This window comes from Homo sapiens, chromosome 4 (genome assembly GCF_000001405.40).
Source record: "Homo sapiens chromosome 4, GRCh38.p14 Primary Assembly".
NCBI classification, from domain to species: domain Eukaryota; kingdom Metazoa; phylum Chordata; class Mammalia; order Primates; family Hominidae; genus Homo; species Homo sapiens.
The window spans coordinates 6,880,099-6,895,065 of record NC_000004.12 but is presented as its reverse complement, the minus strand read 5'-3'; the positions used below and the strand labels follow the sequence as shown (position 1 = coordinate 6,895,065).

The 14,967-nt window shown below is 49.5% G+C and overlaps 1 protein-coding gene across 24 annotated transcripts in view, besides 1 other annotated feature; it reads right to left on the bottom strand.

Annotated features, from left to right (window-relative positions):
* Positions 1,892-2,448: an enhancer, noted in NCBI's record as "H3K4me1 hESC enhancer chr4:6894345-6894901 (GRCh37/hg19 assembly coordinates)". NCBI's record gives its function as "activates a minimal SCP1, AML or CMV promoter by ChIP-STARR-seq in naive H9 embryonic stem cells {active_cell/tissue: H9 hESC(naive)}" and the evidence as "EXISTENCE:reporter gene assay evidence [ECO:0000049][PMID:30033119]".
* KIAA0232 overlaps positions 10,902-14,967 on the bottom strand; it is a 101,438-nt gene continuing 97,372 nt past the window's right edge. For all 24 annotated transcript variants that reach the window (XM_047416450.1, XM_047416446.1, XM_047416453.1 and 21 more), the window contains one exon: positions 10,902-14,279. In XM_047416450.1, coding sequence (XP_047272406.1) covers positions 14,100-14,279 — 180 coding nt within the window. In that variant the 3' untranslated portion in view covers positions 10,902-14,099. The remainder of the gene's footprint in view (positions 14,280-14,967) is intronic.

Genomic DNA, 14,967 nt, shown 5'->3' with positions numbered 1-14,967 from the left:
TTATTTTCAAATTTGACAGGCAAGGAGGAAGTCATCCATAAAGGTGCTAAGCTGCACCCCAACGGATACAGGATGGCGCAGGGAAGTGAGACTCTGGTGGCAAGAGGAGGCCCGTGCAGATCCGTGGAGCCCTCAGCTGCTTCTCCGCAGGAGCTCAGGGGCTGGTGGGAGGCCCAAGCTCTGAAACGGTGGGAGAGGTGCCTCTACCACACCTGCCCAGCTGGTAAGTTAAGTTCAGCAAGGTGTCCGGCAACCCTGGGAGGGGCGTGGATGCTGAGTTTACACTCCCTCTGAAGCGGGAGGCCTTTTATTGGGAAGCACTGATGGAGAACCCTCCCCGGTCCATCTGCCTCTGGGAGAGGGGTTGCCTTGCGTGCTCAGCACCCCGCAGCCTGGGGATTGCTGTGGGATCCTGGAGAACTCACCAGGGGTTCCCAGGCAGTGGGTACCAGCAACGTCCCTGTCTCCTCCTCCCTCCCCTAGACGGCCACCAGGCTGTGAGGGGTGAGAATGAGATCCAAGCATCTGCTGCAACTTTTCCTGCTGATTCTACCTGGGGTCTCTAGAATTATGCCCCATTGCTGGCCAGAAAACCTATTTCCATCTCTAACATTTTAAAAATCTTTTTTCTTTTTTTTTTTAAGACAAGGTCTTGCTCTGTCACCCAGACTGGAGTCCAGTGGTGCAATCATAGCTCACTGAAGCCTTGAACTCCTGGGCTCAAGCGATCTTCCTGCCTCAGCCTTCTGAGCCACCATGTCTGCCTAATGTTTTCTTTTGTAGAGATAGGAGTCTCACTATGTTGCCCAGGCTGGTCTCGAATTCCTAGCCTCAAGAGATCTTCCAGCCTTAGACTTCGAAAGCCATTTAAAAAAATATTTTCAAACAAGTTTTATTATGGAAAATGTCAAATACATACATAGTAGAGAGAACAGTATAATGAACCCCTGAGGCCTACCCTAACAGTGATCAATATTCTGCTCTTCTCACCTCCTCCCCATATTCTTCCTATTGTAAATTTCCCTGGATTCCTTTAGAGTATATCTCAGATACGTCAGTTCACATGAAGATACTTCAGCTTCTTCTGTACATGTCTCTAGAAGAAAGACTTTTTTGGAAGTGTAGTCATAATACTGCCAGCATATCTAATAACACTGACAATTCCTCAGTATCTCCCGCTAGCCCAGTGTTTCTCTAACAGTGTCTTTTTACAGTTTGTTAAATCTGGGTCCAAAGGCCACATACCGCACGTGGTTTATGTTAGGGTTGCACAGTGGTGAGACCTGGTTTTTTTTTCAGTGTATTGCAACGATGACTTTGCTAATTCCTCGTGTACAGTTACAAAGGGCCTTCCCTTCCATGAATGAGTAACCAAACTCACTGCCACGCTGGAGCTGGGGTGGGTGATCTCCATTTTCTCCAGACAAGGACACTCAGGGCAGAGGAGGGCAGTGGCCTGCACAGGACCCCAGCTCAGCCATCCCTGCACCAGGCCAAACCCATGCCCAGTCAGCAGCCCAGTGCTCCATTCACATTTGTACAGTGAGCTCATCCAACTGTGAGAAGGAAGAAAATACCATGGTGATCTTCTTTGAAAAGCTACAGAATTTCTAGCAGATTCTCTGCTATGCATCAGTGGATTTTTTTTCCCAGACCTGTTCAACAGGCAGTATTTTTTTTTTATCATGATTTGTTTTTTTGTTTTTATTTATTTAGAGACAGGGTCTCACTCTGTCCCCCAGGCTGGGGTGCAGAGTCTGTCACGGCTCACTGCAGCCTTGACTTTCTGGGCTCAGGTGATCCTCGTACCTCAGCCTCCCAAGTAGCTGGGACTACAGGCATGTGCCACCGTGCTCAGCTAAATTTTTTTGTATTTTTTGTAGAGATGGGATTTTGCCATGTTGCCCAGGCTGCTCTCCAACTTGCGGGCTCAAGCGATCTTCCTGCCTCAGCCTCCCAAAGTGCTGGGATTACAGGTGTGAGCCGTGGTACCCAGAATGCACCAGCAGATTCTGAAATCCCTCACCTCGGAGACCACTGCTTGCCCAGGACACAAATGGTGCCCCTGCTTACAACGTTTTTGTGCCCCCTGCTGCCTCCAGGGTGAAATCCAGATGCCGCCAGGAAGCATTCAAGGTGCCCCAGCCATCCCTCTATTCTCGTTTCTTCCCACATCGCCATACCCATCCCAGCCAAACCCAGCTGTGACACTGAAGTTCACATTCTGATAGACCATACTTCTGGTATGGCTTGAGCAGCTGATTTTAGGGGGCACCGAGGAAGAAACTGGCACCTGTGGAGCACCCATGTGTGCCAGGCCCCTCAGTCCCGGGTGCTAAAACTCCAGTTTTACAGAGGAGAAAAGGGTGGCTTGCAGAGGGCGAATGACCTGCCGAAGGCCACACAGTGGGAACCAGGATTAATTTCGAGCCAGGCACTCTGGCGCCACACACTGGGTTCTTCCTGCTCCCTCCTCCCACAGGGCTGGGAGTGGGGCTTGACCCTGGAAAAGGGGAGGGGGTGCATTTCTGTCAGCCAGGGCTCCTCCCGCCACGCCCTGTTCAGCTTCACAGTCCCTGGGAGGCTGTGTCCCCTAGAGGTTTCCGCTGCTTTCTTTGATCTGCAGCCACTTGCCGGAGAGCTGGACGCTGCCAAGAAGGAAACCACACACTGTCAGTGGCGCATCTGCAGAGTCATGGGGTGGAAACGGACCCTTCTGTGTCTCCTCCAGATGAAACGCGTCACTTATTCTGCAGGAAGGGCTGCACCCTGAGTGTATAAACCCTGACTGTGCCTCCCTCCTTGCCCACCCTGCCCCACGCTGCTGGTCAGGACAGAGCCGGGAGCGGCCTGCTGACTTCATGAGGCTCCTGGGGGGCCACCAGGCTGGGGAATTTGGGGGCAAGATAATGACACATCTTCTCATGCAGAGAGTGGGGCTTCAGCCCAAATCCCTCAAACTCCTGAAAAGTGGAGAAAGAGGGTGCAGCAGGCAGGCTGGGGAGGCCCTCTGGAGTTTATCTAGGAGAGGTTAAAGAGGAAGTTGTGATGCTATCATTGCCAGAGAACTAGAGCTGAGGGAGGGTGACTGATTCAGAAAAATAAAATGTATTACCAGCATCAGGGTTAGGGCCTAGTACGTAGTAGGTCCTTGATATATGTTATTGAATAAAAGTTTCCAAACCCTGTATGTAACAGCTTGGGGCCTAACCCTGGAGAGGGGCTACGGTGACTACCTCATTCTTCTAAATACTTTCAAACTGGGCCATGGAACTCCTTGCTGCCTAGTCAACAAGCTGAAAGTAAACCTTAGTAACACAACCCTTGGACTATGATAGAGTTTGGACATTTTGTTCCTGCCCAAATCTCTTGTTGAATTGTAATCCCCAATCTTGCAGGTGGGGCCTGATGGGAGGCGTTTGGGTCATGGAGGTGGATCCCTCGTGGCTTGGTGCCATCTCTGCAATAGTGAGTTCTAGTGCCAGCCGGTTGTTGAAAAGTGTGTGGCACATCCCCTGCCCCCACTTCCTCCTGCTCCGGCCACGTAAGACATGCCTGCTTTAGGCTGGGCACGGTGGCTCATGCCTGTAATCCTAGCACTTTGGGAGGCCGAGGCAGGCGGGTCACCTGAGGTCGGGAGTTTGAGACCAGCCTGACCAATATGGAGAAACCCCATCTCTACTAAAAATACAAAAATTAGCCAGGCGTGGTGGCACATGCCTGCAATTCCGGCTACTCAGGAGGCTGAGGCAGAAGAATCGCTTGAACCCAGGAGGCGGAGGTTGCGGTGAGCTGAGATCATGCCACTGTACTCCAGCCTGGGTGACAAGAGCGAAACTCTGTCTCGAAAAAAAAGACATGCCTGCTTCCCCTTCCCCTTCTGCCATGATTGGAAGCTTCCTGAGGCCTCCCCAAAAGCCGAGCAGATGCCGGCATCATGCTTCCTGTAGAGCCTGTGGAACTATGAGCCAGTTAAGCCTTTTTTTCTTTATAAATTACCCAGTCTCAGGTATTTTTTTTGTAGCAGTGTGAGAATGGCCTAATACAGGGTGGCACTCTGTTGAATTTGGGGGGCATCCCCTCATTGTTTGAATGACTTTCACCCCAGGTGGGAGGAGTCCCAGGGCATCCCTGGGTACCAGCATCATTTGTTCCATAAACGCTGGATGCCACCAGTTGACAGGCCCAGTGCCCCAGCCCAGAAACCACCCCACAAACTTTCACTCTGTCCTTGCTGAGGGAGGCCTCTCTGAAATGGCAGTGGCCCATCCACAAATTTTGCAGTTGGGGAGACCAAGACCCAGAGACTTCTTTTTCTTCCTAATTAGCAGGTTAATGCCAACATGAAGACACCCTGTATTAGTCCATTTCACACTGCTATAAAGATATAACTGAGACTGGGTAATTTATGAAAAAAAAAAGAGGCTTAATTGACTCACAGTTCTGCAGGCTGTACGGGAAGCATGGCTGGGAAGGCCTCAGGAAACTTACAGTCATGGCAGAAGGTGAAGGGGAAGCAGGTACATCTTCACATGGCCAGCAGGAGAGACAGTGAAGGGGGAGGTGCTACACACTTTCAAACAACCAGATCTCCTGAGAACTCTATCACAAAACAGCACTAGGGTGCTGGATGGTGCTAAACCATTAGAGACCACCCCCAAGGCCCAATCACCTCCCACCGGCCCCACATCCAACGCTGGGGATCACAATTCAACATGAGATTTGGGTGGGGACACAGAGTCAAACCATATCACAAACAACCCCAAGCTGTCTCCATTCCCACTGTGTTGACTCTGGAAGGTCAGGGCACAGGTCAGTAGGAAAACGAGGCCTCCTGCTCCAGTGGGTGATGCCACCAACCCTGGGAAGAGGCGGGAAACCGTCTGCAGGTGGAGGAATTGAGTTCTGTAGGAGGAAGTCAGTCACTCAGAGGCCCAGGTTCTCCACTTCCTCCCCAGCTTGGGAAGAGGCAGCGGCAGGTGGGTGGTGGGGCTGGGGAAGGAGAGGCAGGGAAGTGAGCAGCAAAGGCTCCCTCGAGGTGTCTGCAGAACACCCGTGCGTCATGGCAGAGAGGGGCCGGGCTCACCCCGTATCCCTGGTAAGGTCTTATGGGGCAGCAAGGGCTGCAGCAGGACCTCCAGGCGAGGGGTGTGGCACTAAGATCAGTGAGGGCATGGGGGCAGCGACCACCCGCAGGAATGCAGTGCAATGCTCTAGCTAACAGCCAGGACCTGCAAGTTCGTTTTGTCACCCTCGCAGAGTCCCTAGTCTGTCTGAGCAATTCCCCCGTCCCTCAGTCTAGGGTGGTGGTAAGGCCTGAGCAGAGAGCCCGGGGAAAGCCACCAGCGTGTGCCAGGCAGGCCAGGGAGGGAGCTCCGGCGAGTGCGGCCACTTCTGTTATCAGGGGCTCGCAGCTGGCAGTTTGTGGGAGGTCGAAGTGGTTACGTTTGACATATGTGATCACCAGGAATCGGATCTAGAGTAGAGCCACAAACAATGCCCTCAGGCACCACAGGGTCCGGCCCCTCGCTGCATAGGAAGGCCCAGGAGAGGGTCAGGGCTCACTCAAGCCCCCAGTGATCCCTGAGGCGCCGCGACCTTGAGTCTGCGGTCGCAGCGCCCAGTCCGGGGTTCTCGCAGTGCCGCCTCCACTTCACTGAAGAGCGCTCCTGGCTTTGCGCACAAAGCGCGGGCAGCCTGTGGTGTCACCCTTGGGTCCCCAGCCTGCAGTCTCCTGGAGGACAGGCCTGTGCCCAGCCACATGCGCGGGTGAATCCTGAGCGCCCCAAGGGGGGTTCCCAGACTTTAGTTCCGCGGTGGCTTCCGGCTCCCGTCTTGAGGGTCTGAAGGTGTGGGACTTGGCCCCCTGGGAGTGGCGGCGGTAGCGGGGGCACAGCGCTGGTTTGTGGAGGCCACGGTAGTGGGAAAGCAGCACTGCACTTGGGAATCAGATGAGCCATCGGCAGACCCCGGCTCACACCTCTGCCGGGTGCTCCTGGGCCAGAACTTTGGGTTCTCAGCCTCGGTGACAGACACCCTGAGACTGCTGGGAAAGACGCAGAGATGATGGGCCGTAGGTAGATCTGCTCTACCCATAGCAGCTCGGTCAGAGCAGGGTAGACCCGAGGGCTCCAGGAACTCGTGGAGCGGGGACTGACCTGTCTCCCTGCCCAGTCCCAGGACTCACGTCTTCCTCCTCCCTCTAGGGCCCCGGGCAGGAGGGACAGCACTGCTGGTGCCCACTGTGAGGGCTGGGAGGGACCACGTGGGGACGGCAAGAAACCCTCAGGAGGGAGCCTGTATTCTATTCAGGGAAATGAGCGGACACTTTGCCTGCCAGTTCTCCTCCCCTAGCCCTGGGAGGGAGAAGGGTCCCCATCTCACAGTTGAGAGAGCCACTGGCTCAGGGTCACAGCTCACGAGGAGGGGGCTCTTCCTATCACCCCTCCTCAGGGGCAACATCCCCACACAAACTCACACATCAGGGGCTCCTGGCCTTAGCGCTGCTGAGGACCAGCATTTCGTGTGCTCCTCAGCCTCAAAATGTAGCCTCACCTGGAAGGGGAGGGTCACTGTCCCCACCTGTGACAGGGCCAGAGGGTGGGGTCCTCCCCACCCCTGGACTGTGATAGGAAGTGGGAGACCGTGTGCCTGCCCCCTCGCTGCAAGGCCAGGGCCCTCCCCACCATCCTCCCCAACGGACGTGGTGGCCAGAGCCCTCGGCCCCAGTGGGCACACTTGGCTCTGCTGCTGCCCTGGCCCCTGCCCTCTGGTTCAGCCACCACTGGGAGCCAAGGACAGCCAAAGGAGTTGGTCTCCTGTGTCGAAGGGATAGCGTGACCTCCCTTCAGGGCGAGATCATGGTGACAGCACTGTGGTCAGCACTCAAGGATGAATGGCCTCTGTGGGGCTGACCCCTGCTGACCCCCGCTGACTAGGCAGGCCTGGAGCTGCAGATCCAACAAGGGCCCTTAAAGGGCTCTGCTAGCACAGGGGGGAGGGCAGGGAGTGAGAGACCGCCTGCAAAGAGGCAACTGTCTCCTTAGTTACTGGACTCAGTGCTGCAACTTCTCTTTTGCATTTCCGTTTTTGCTTTTTTTGAGTCCAGTGTGAAAGGAAAATAAAAACGTGGGACCGTAATTCACTGTGCTAAAAGGAAATACTTAAGATGAGAATAGACTCATGCAAGAAGCTGCGTTTCCTTATGTTCTTAAGCAGATAGCTACAGCGAAAGGGCCAGACAGGCCAGGCACGGTGGCTTCACGACTGTAATCCCAGCACTTTGAAAGGCCGAGGTGGAAGCATTGCTTGAGCCCAAGAATTCACGGCCAGCCTGGGCAGCATGGTGAAACCTCTGTCTACAAAAAATACAAAAATTAGCTGGGTGTGGTGGCGCACACCTGTGGTTCCAGCTACTCGGGAGGCTGAGGCTGCAGTGAGCCAAGATCGAGATCACGCCACTGCACTCCATCCTGGGTAAGCGTGAGATCCTGTCCAAAAAACAAAACAAAACAAAAAGGCCAGCTATCTCCACAGGTAGCTACTCTGTGTTCACTGTATCTTACGTAAAGTGAGGATTTAGTGCGTACAAGTCAAATACCTAATTGACTACTCCCCTACCTGCTCCTTTTCTCTCGCAACCTGTGGATTCAGTCGTGTGACCACACCCTCCCCCTTCCCCCTCCAGCCCACTTTTCCCCTTTAAATACAGAAGCTCTCAAAATCATCTTTGGAGAAAGGCACAGACCTCTCTCTCTCAGGTGTGTCCTGAGTCTTGGCAAAATACACTTCTAAATTAATTGAGGTCTGTCTCAGGTACTTTTTAGTTTGCACTCTAGTATTTATGCAGATGGACTATTTTATGTTTATAACCAACCCTTAGGAGAGAGGTCCAGTTATGATCTCCATTTACATCTAAAGATACCAACGTGTGAGACTGAGTAACTCGCCCAAGGACACACAGCCGGGGCTGACACAGCAGGACTCCCTGCAAGTACGCAGACAATACATAACTTTTTTTTTTGAGACGGAGTCTTGCTGTCACCCAGGCTGGAGTGCAGTGGCGCGATCTCAGATCACCACAACCTCTGCCTCCCGGGTTCAAGTGATTCTCCTGCCTCAGCCTCCGGAGTAGCTGGGATTACAGGCGCCTGTCATTATGCCTGGCTAATTTTTGTAGTTTTAGTAGAGACGGGGTTTCACCATGTTGGCCAGGTTGGTCTCGGAACTCCTGACCTCAGGTGATCCGCCCACCTTGGCCTCCCAAAGTGCTGGGTTAACAGGCATGAGCCACCGTGCCCAGAGACAATACGTAACTTAATGAGTGGGATTTTGTGAGATGGAGGTTTCAGTGTTAAATGGACTCTGCAGTCAGTGCCCAAGGTGAATTCGGGCTCCAGCATCCACCAAGTGTGAGACTGCAAGTGCCTAATGCCCCATTGTGCCTCAGTTTACTCATCTGTAAAACAGAGCAGCTGTAGCTCCCTCATAGGGTTGCTAGTTAACACTCAAGAGCGCTTAGAATGCGTGGCAGCCAGTAAGCCCTCAGTGTCAGCTGTTGACTATGACTAGCACAGACAATAGCAACGCCAACCAAACGTTAGGTGGCAGCATCATTACCAGCTTGATAATTGAGGCAACCGTCCCTGAACATGCTATTAATTAACCACACCAGTGGCACAAGGCTAGCAGCGGGCTCTGAAACGACAGCTCATTTCCTAATCTCTGCGTTCACAACAGTGGCCAGCTTGTGACGCCATCCGACTGGCTGCTTTCAAGAGGAACCAGGGGCAGGGGCTTCCTTTCTGTTCCTGGACTGCTGGTAGATGCAGGCCTCCTGGGCACTGCCACAGCCACTCATGGCCAGAGTGGCATCTGTAGTGGCAGCAGCAGCAGGCACACAGGGCAGTGGCCAGAGCACTTTCAGTGAAAAAGGCAGAAGCCTTTACACTCCACCCCGGGCTGTTCTAAAAATACTTAGCTGTGGTGTCAGAATTCCTGGCCCGAGAGGGGAGGACTGCCTGAGCTCCGGGAGGTGGAGGCTGCAGTGAACCGAGATGACATCACTGCACTCCTGCAAATCGGTGGGGTAAGGACTTTAAAAATGGTGTTGGGGGGTGGGCCAACTACATCCTTTAGGGCCTGTGCTATTGCCAGGTGCAATGGCTCAGGCCTGTAATCCCAGCACTTTGGGAGGCTGAGGTGAGGAGGATGGATTGAGGCCAAGTAATTGAGACCAGCCTGGGCAACCCTGTTCCTACAAAAAATTAAAAAATGAGCTGGGCATGGTGAGGTGTGCTTATAGTCCCAGCTATTAGGGAGGCTGAGGCAGGAGGATCACTAGGCCCAGGAGTTTGAGATGACAGTGATCATGCCACTGCACTCCAGCCTAGGTGACACAGTGAGACTGTCTCCAAAAAGGAGCTATGCACAGATTTCAAAAATTTTTTGCACCAAAATAAACTTGTACTAACTTGTTATAACATGTCTTAAGATCTACTTTGAGGCACTAAGAAGGGTATGACTGTTTGAAAAGAGCACCTATCAGAGCAACATGAATTCTGCTAAAAATGGAAGCAAGGACATCAAATTTATGGTGATGCTTGGGTGGAAGAATGGTGAGATCAGTGATTTTTTTTTTTTTTTTTCCTGAGACAGAGTCTCGCTCTGTTGCCCAGGCTGGAGTGCAGTGGCGTGATCTCGGCTCACTGCAGCTTCCGCCTCTCAGGTTCAAGCAATTCTCTTGCCTCAGCCTCCTGAGTAGCTGGGACTACAGGCACATGCCACCACGCCTGGCTAATTTTTTTGTATTTTTAATAAAGACAGGGTTTCACCATGTTGGCCAGGATGGTCTCGATCTCCTGACCTCGTGATCCACCCACCTCAGCCTCCCAAAGTGCTAGGAATACAAGCGTGAGCCACCACACCTGGCCCAAAATCAATGATTTTTTTACAAAAAAGCTTATGGGGACAATGCCCCGCCCCCAGCCAAAATCAGAGGTTTGCCAATGGGTAACTTGTTTTAAGAAGGGATGAGACAATGGTGAAGACCTCCTCATCAATTTGTGAGGAAAAAATTAATCTTATTCATGCCTGAATCAAAGAGGACCAATGATTAACAGCAGAAACAACACCCAACACCACAGACACCTCAGATGGTTCAGCTTACACGATCTGACTGAAAAATTAACGTTGAGCAAACTTGCCACTCAATGGCTACCAAACCACTGCACTCAGATCAGCTGGAGACAGCAGCAGAGCTTTCAGGGGAAACTTTCAACAAGAGGAATCAACATCCTAAAGCATTTCCTCTGAGAACTGTAACAGGAGATGGAACATGGCTTTACCAGCACAATCCTGAAGACAATGTGATTGTGATCACAGCACTGGCTACCGAGAGGTGGGAGGGGTCTCCTCATAGCAAATGCAGACTGGTCAAAAGCAGAGGCCAGGCAACCATTTTCTGGGATGCTCAAAGCACTGTGTATGTGCTGACTTTCCAGATGCCCAAAGAATGTTAACATCTGCTTATGACGAGTGTTTTGAGAAAGTTAGCCAAAGCTGTGGCAGAACAATGCCTAGGAAAGTTTCACCAGAGCCCTTTTCCACCATGACAGTGCTCCTCCTGCTCATTCCTCTCAGCAAACGAGAGCCATTTTCCAAGAGTTTTGATGGGAAATCATCAGGCATCCACTTTGCAGTCCTGATTGGGCTTCTTCTGACTTTTTGTTTCCTAATCTTAAAAAGCTGTAAAGGGCACCCATTTCTCTTCAGTTCACAATGCAGAGACTACACTGACAAGGTGAAATTTCCAGGAGCCTCAGTTCTTTAGGGATAGACTGAATGGTTGGTATTATGTCTTATAGTAGTATCTTGAACTTGATGGAACTTATGTTGAGAAATAAAGTTTATATTTTTTTATTTTTCTTTTAATTCCATTTTCCATGAACTTTTAAAAGTCCCCTCATACATGTTTACAGATGTCCATAGAAACGTTATTCAGATACTGAATAAACAACCAAAAAAACATTGTTTTATCAATGAGGAACCTGTTAAATCTACATAATACAGCTATAAAAATAATTATGTAGTTCTATAATTACCGACATGAAGACATCTGAGTAAAAACCTATTTCTGATGTTATAGAAGAACAAGTATAGTACACTCTTGAATGTAAATTTCTCTGTGTATGCATTCATATATACTGTACATTCAGAATCCTGGAAAGGGGCTTGCACAGATGTTACCAGTGTATGTCTCAGAGTGACAGAAGGACATATGAGTTTTCCTTTTCCCTTATACTTCTTTAAAAACACACTGATTTTTTTTGCACAATGAATATCAATCATATTAACATATAAAGATTTAATTTTTTCCCCAGAAGAAAACAAAAAGATTGAGCTTTGTGTACCATCCACGGACAAAAATGCTATGTGTTTTGCAGACTCAGGTAGTAGTCCCTGCGTGTGCTGGGGGTGAGATGGGGAGGAGCCGCTGATTTCTCAGCAGGCCACACCACTTTCTTCCCTAGCAAAGCTGCACAATGTTTTCAGCAGTGTCTGCAATGAGAGCTAAATGACCTCCATCTAGAACAAATGTAACCTGGGCACTTGCTCTTCCACGGATGCTCATGAGTAAAAGGAAGCTGGAGTTCTTTACAAAAGAAGCTTTGCTATGAGAAATAAAAACAACAAACTGTTTTTTACAATTTTTATTTGGTGTTAACTCCACAAGAAAACAAACAAAAAAAAATCAGTTACTCTGGTGTACGTGAAATCAGAACAATACAACCACGGGAAAAACAATCTCAGCCCAGGAATGGAAACTGGTACTTCAGTGCTATGGAAATGCAATGCGCTTCATACCACAGTGCGTTTCAGCGTTTGCCAACTTTTTAAAAATGCTTTTTCTTTGTGATCATCCATTCACAAAACTAAAAAGCCACACTTTCATCTCTGTTGCTGAAAGCCTCTGAGCTTCAGCTACTTAACTATGAAAACAAATAAATACATAATTTGTGAATCCCTTTGCTCACTTCGAATCCGTCCCATTCACCTGTGGAAGGTGCTGCATCTTCTCACCTGTGTCTGAGGAAGTGTGCACCTTTGCCACCTGGAGCCCTTTCCTAATAAACAGCAGCTGTCCAAAATCAACTGTGCTCAAGGTTGTGTCTGAAATCTATTTATTTGGTCTTTGCTACACAAGCAACGATTTCTAGAATAATCGTCACTGTAGTGATATGAGGAATTTACAACTTTCAATCCTTTTTTACTTTTGCTGTTAAATTATATTTCAGTGCAGATGCTTATCAATTTTTAGGAAGCTCCAGAAGAATGAAAAATACATAAAAACGTATCTGAAGTTCGTAAATAAATAACAGCAACATAAAACCTTACACATGCGCGCGCGCACGCGCGCACACACACACACACACACACACCCACCCACCTTAAAGTGTCAAAAAATGTGTTGTATAAAAATAAACCCTAACACGTGGGAAGATCGACCCGGCGGGCACACCAGGTCCCTCTCGGTGAGGACACACAGACCCTCAATGACTCCACAGTCTTTGATGGTACTTTCTTTTCTGTGTTATCAATTAAGAAAAAGGCAACAAAACCCAAATGTTCAAAGCAAATCATAGATTTCACAGCCAGTTCAGCTCCCAGCTAATAAATTATATGTGTGTTTACTGCCTGCCCAAATGAGTGGTGAAGCTGTCTAGAGCGCATCAGACTTTTCTGCCATTCCTGATGCTCCAGGCATGCTACGCTGATTTCACAGATTAGGTTTTTTTTGTTTTTGTTTTTTAAACAATGAGTTGGTTAAAAAAGAAAAACAATGTAAAAAATGTAAAATGTTTCGGCTGTGCACATACTGCTCCTCCTGGCCTCTGCCTGTGGCACAATGCCATGAGAGCCGGAGGAGCGGATCGCCATGCACAGACGCGACTCACAAGATGCGCCGGCTCCCCGGGCTCACCAAGGAGAAACGGGAGCCAGTCCCACGGAGCGACAGTCAGCAAAACCACCACACAGGGATGTGGAAAACTCATGACTCTACCCGCCCCAACCCACCACACACAGAACTTGCCCAGAACATTCTCTCAAACACAAAATGAGATCGAAGCTATACTACATCACAGCCAAGAAGCGGCTAGCTGCAGCAGCCAAAGATTTCTCTGGGTGATGAGGTGGCCTTTACTGCATGTCAAATGTTCACAATTTCAAGTTTTGGGGGTTTCAATTCAACATAGGTCACCAGAAAGTAACAATCTGTAACTAAGGTCCTTAGCACGTATGGAACACTCACCACAAAGAACCCTGCATGGGGTTTTGGTGTAAATGTAACTGCAGTATGAGAGCAGGTAAGGGGTGGGGTATGCACCCTTACCCCACTGTGTCTCGCATACGACCCCACACCCCAAATCCTTGGCTTCTTCAGTTAGCAAGAAAGTCACGAACCATAGTATCTTCCGTGATACTTTAGGGGAAAAGAAATCCTAAGAGAGAAAACACAGTATTTGGTGAGTCTTGAAAAGCACACCTCTGCGGTTCCTACTGGAAATGTACATGAGATTTTGCTGAATGGAGACCACCGCTGAGTCACCCAGGCTTCCCTCTCGCCTTCAGAAAGGCATCAAGCCACTGTAGGGTAAGAATGGATATCCCAGTTCTTGGAGAACAAAGCCTAAATGCTCCAAAGCTGAAGTCTCTGAAGAGCAGAAGTGGTTGTTGACACTGCAATGCTAGTAAGGTCATAGTGATATAACCGCAGTCGGAAGGAAAATTAACTGCAGTTAAGATGCAAAAAGCAGTGATACTTCTAAGACAAGCACATGCACACCCATTCTTGATTTGACAACACAATCTAGTCTATTTCAAATAGCCAAGAATTTAACAGCTGGGAAAAAAAATCTTTAACAGGATAGCTGTCCTCAACTCTAAAATAAGCAAGAAGAGAAAGATAATTATTACCAATCTGAATCAGTTAATTGAAGAGGAAACCTAAGTTGTTGTTTTAGATTAACAGGTCTCACTGAAGAGTAATTTTCCATCACATATCATTTTTAAACAATAATTTGTACTATTTTGCAGGTTTAGAGATGAGTTCGAGAAAAGAGCTCCTCTTCACTAGGGCCCACCCACTCGCCTCCGCCTTCTGAGCCTGTCTCTTCCGAGGTGGAGCTGGCGCTGGAGCACATCTTTCCGCGGAAGCCATCTGACTTTGCTCCAGAATCTCTCTCTCCTGTACATCTTGCTTCATAAACAGAAGACACCTAAGATTAAAACAATTTTCAACACATCAAAAAGACTTTTTTTTCCCCAAAAGGGTGAGATACTCTATCTATATACAAAGAAGAAATAATAAATCATCAGTGTTTTCCTGTGGAGTTACAAACATGCAGAGTTTTACTGTTTCAGAGCAAAACCGCCTCTCTTCTCTGATCCATGAAGGATCCAAAATCCTAATTCCACATGTTCAGTCACTTGGACAAAATGTTAGCCATGTTAGGGTAGGATAAAGAATTATTTCATTTTCAAAGTCTTTGAGTACCTGCTATGCACCAGGAACTTTACTGGGCACAGGGACTCCAGCAGTGGAAGGCGCATGCCAGGCTCGCTGGGGAGATGAACGAGCAAACCAACATGTGCCAGTTGCAGTGACACAGTACCGATGGTGAGGGGGGCACTGCAGACGGGTGTGTTGGGAAGGGAGTTTGCAGTGACACAGTACAGATGGTGAGGCGACACTACAGACCTGTGTGTTGGGAAGGGAGTTTGCAGTGACACAGTACAGATGGTGAGGGGACACTGCAGACCTCTGTGTTGGGAAGGGAGTTTGCAGTGACACAGTACAGATGGTGAGGGGACACTGCAGACCTCTGTGTTGGGAAGGGAGTTTGCAGTGACACAGTACAGATGGTGAGGCGACACTACAGACCTGTGTGTTGGGAAGGGAGTTTG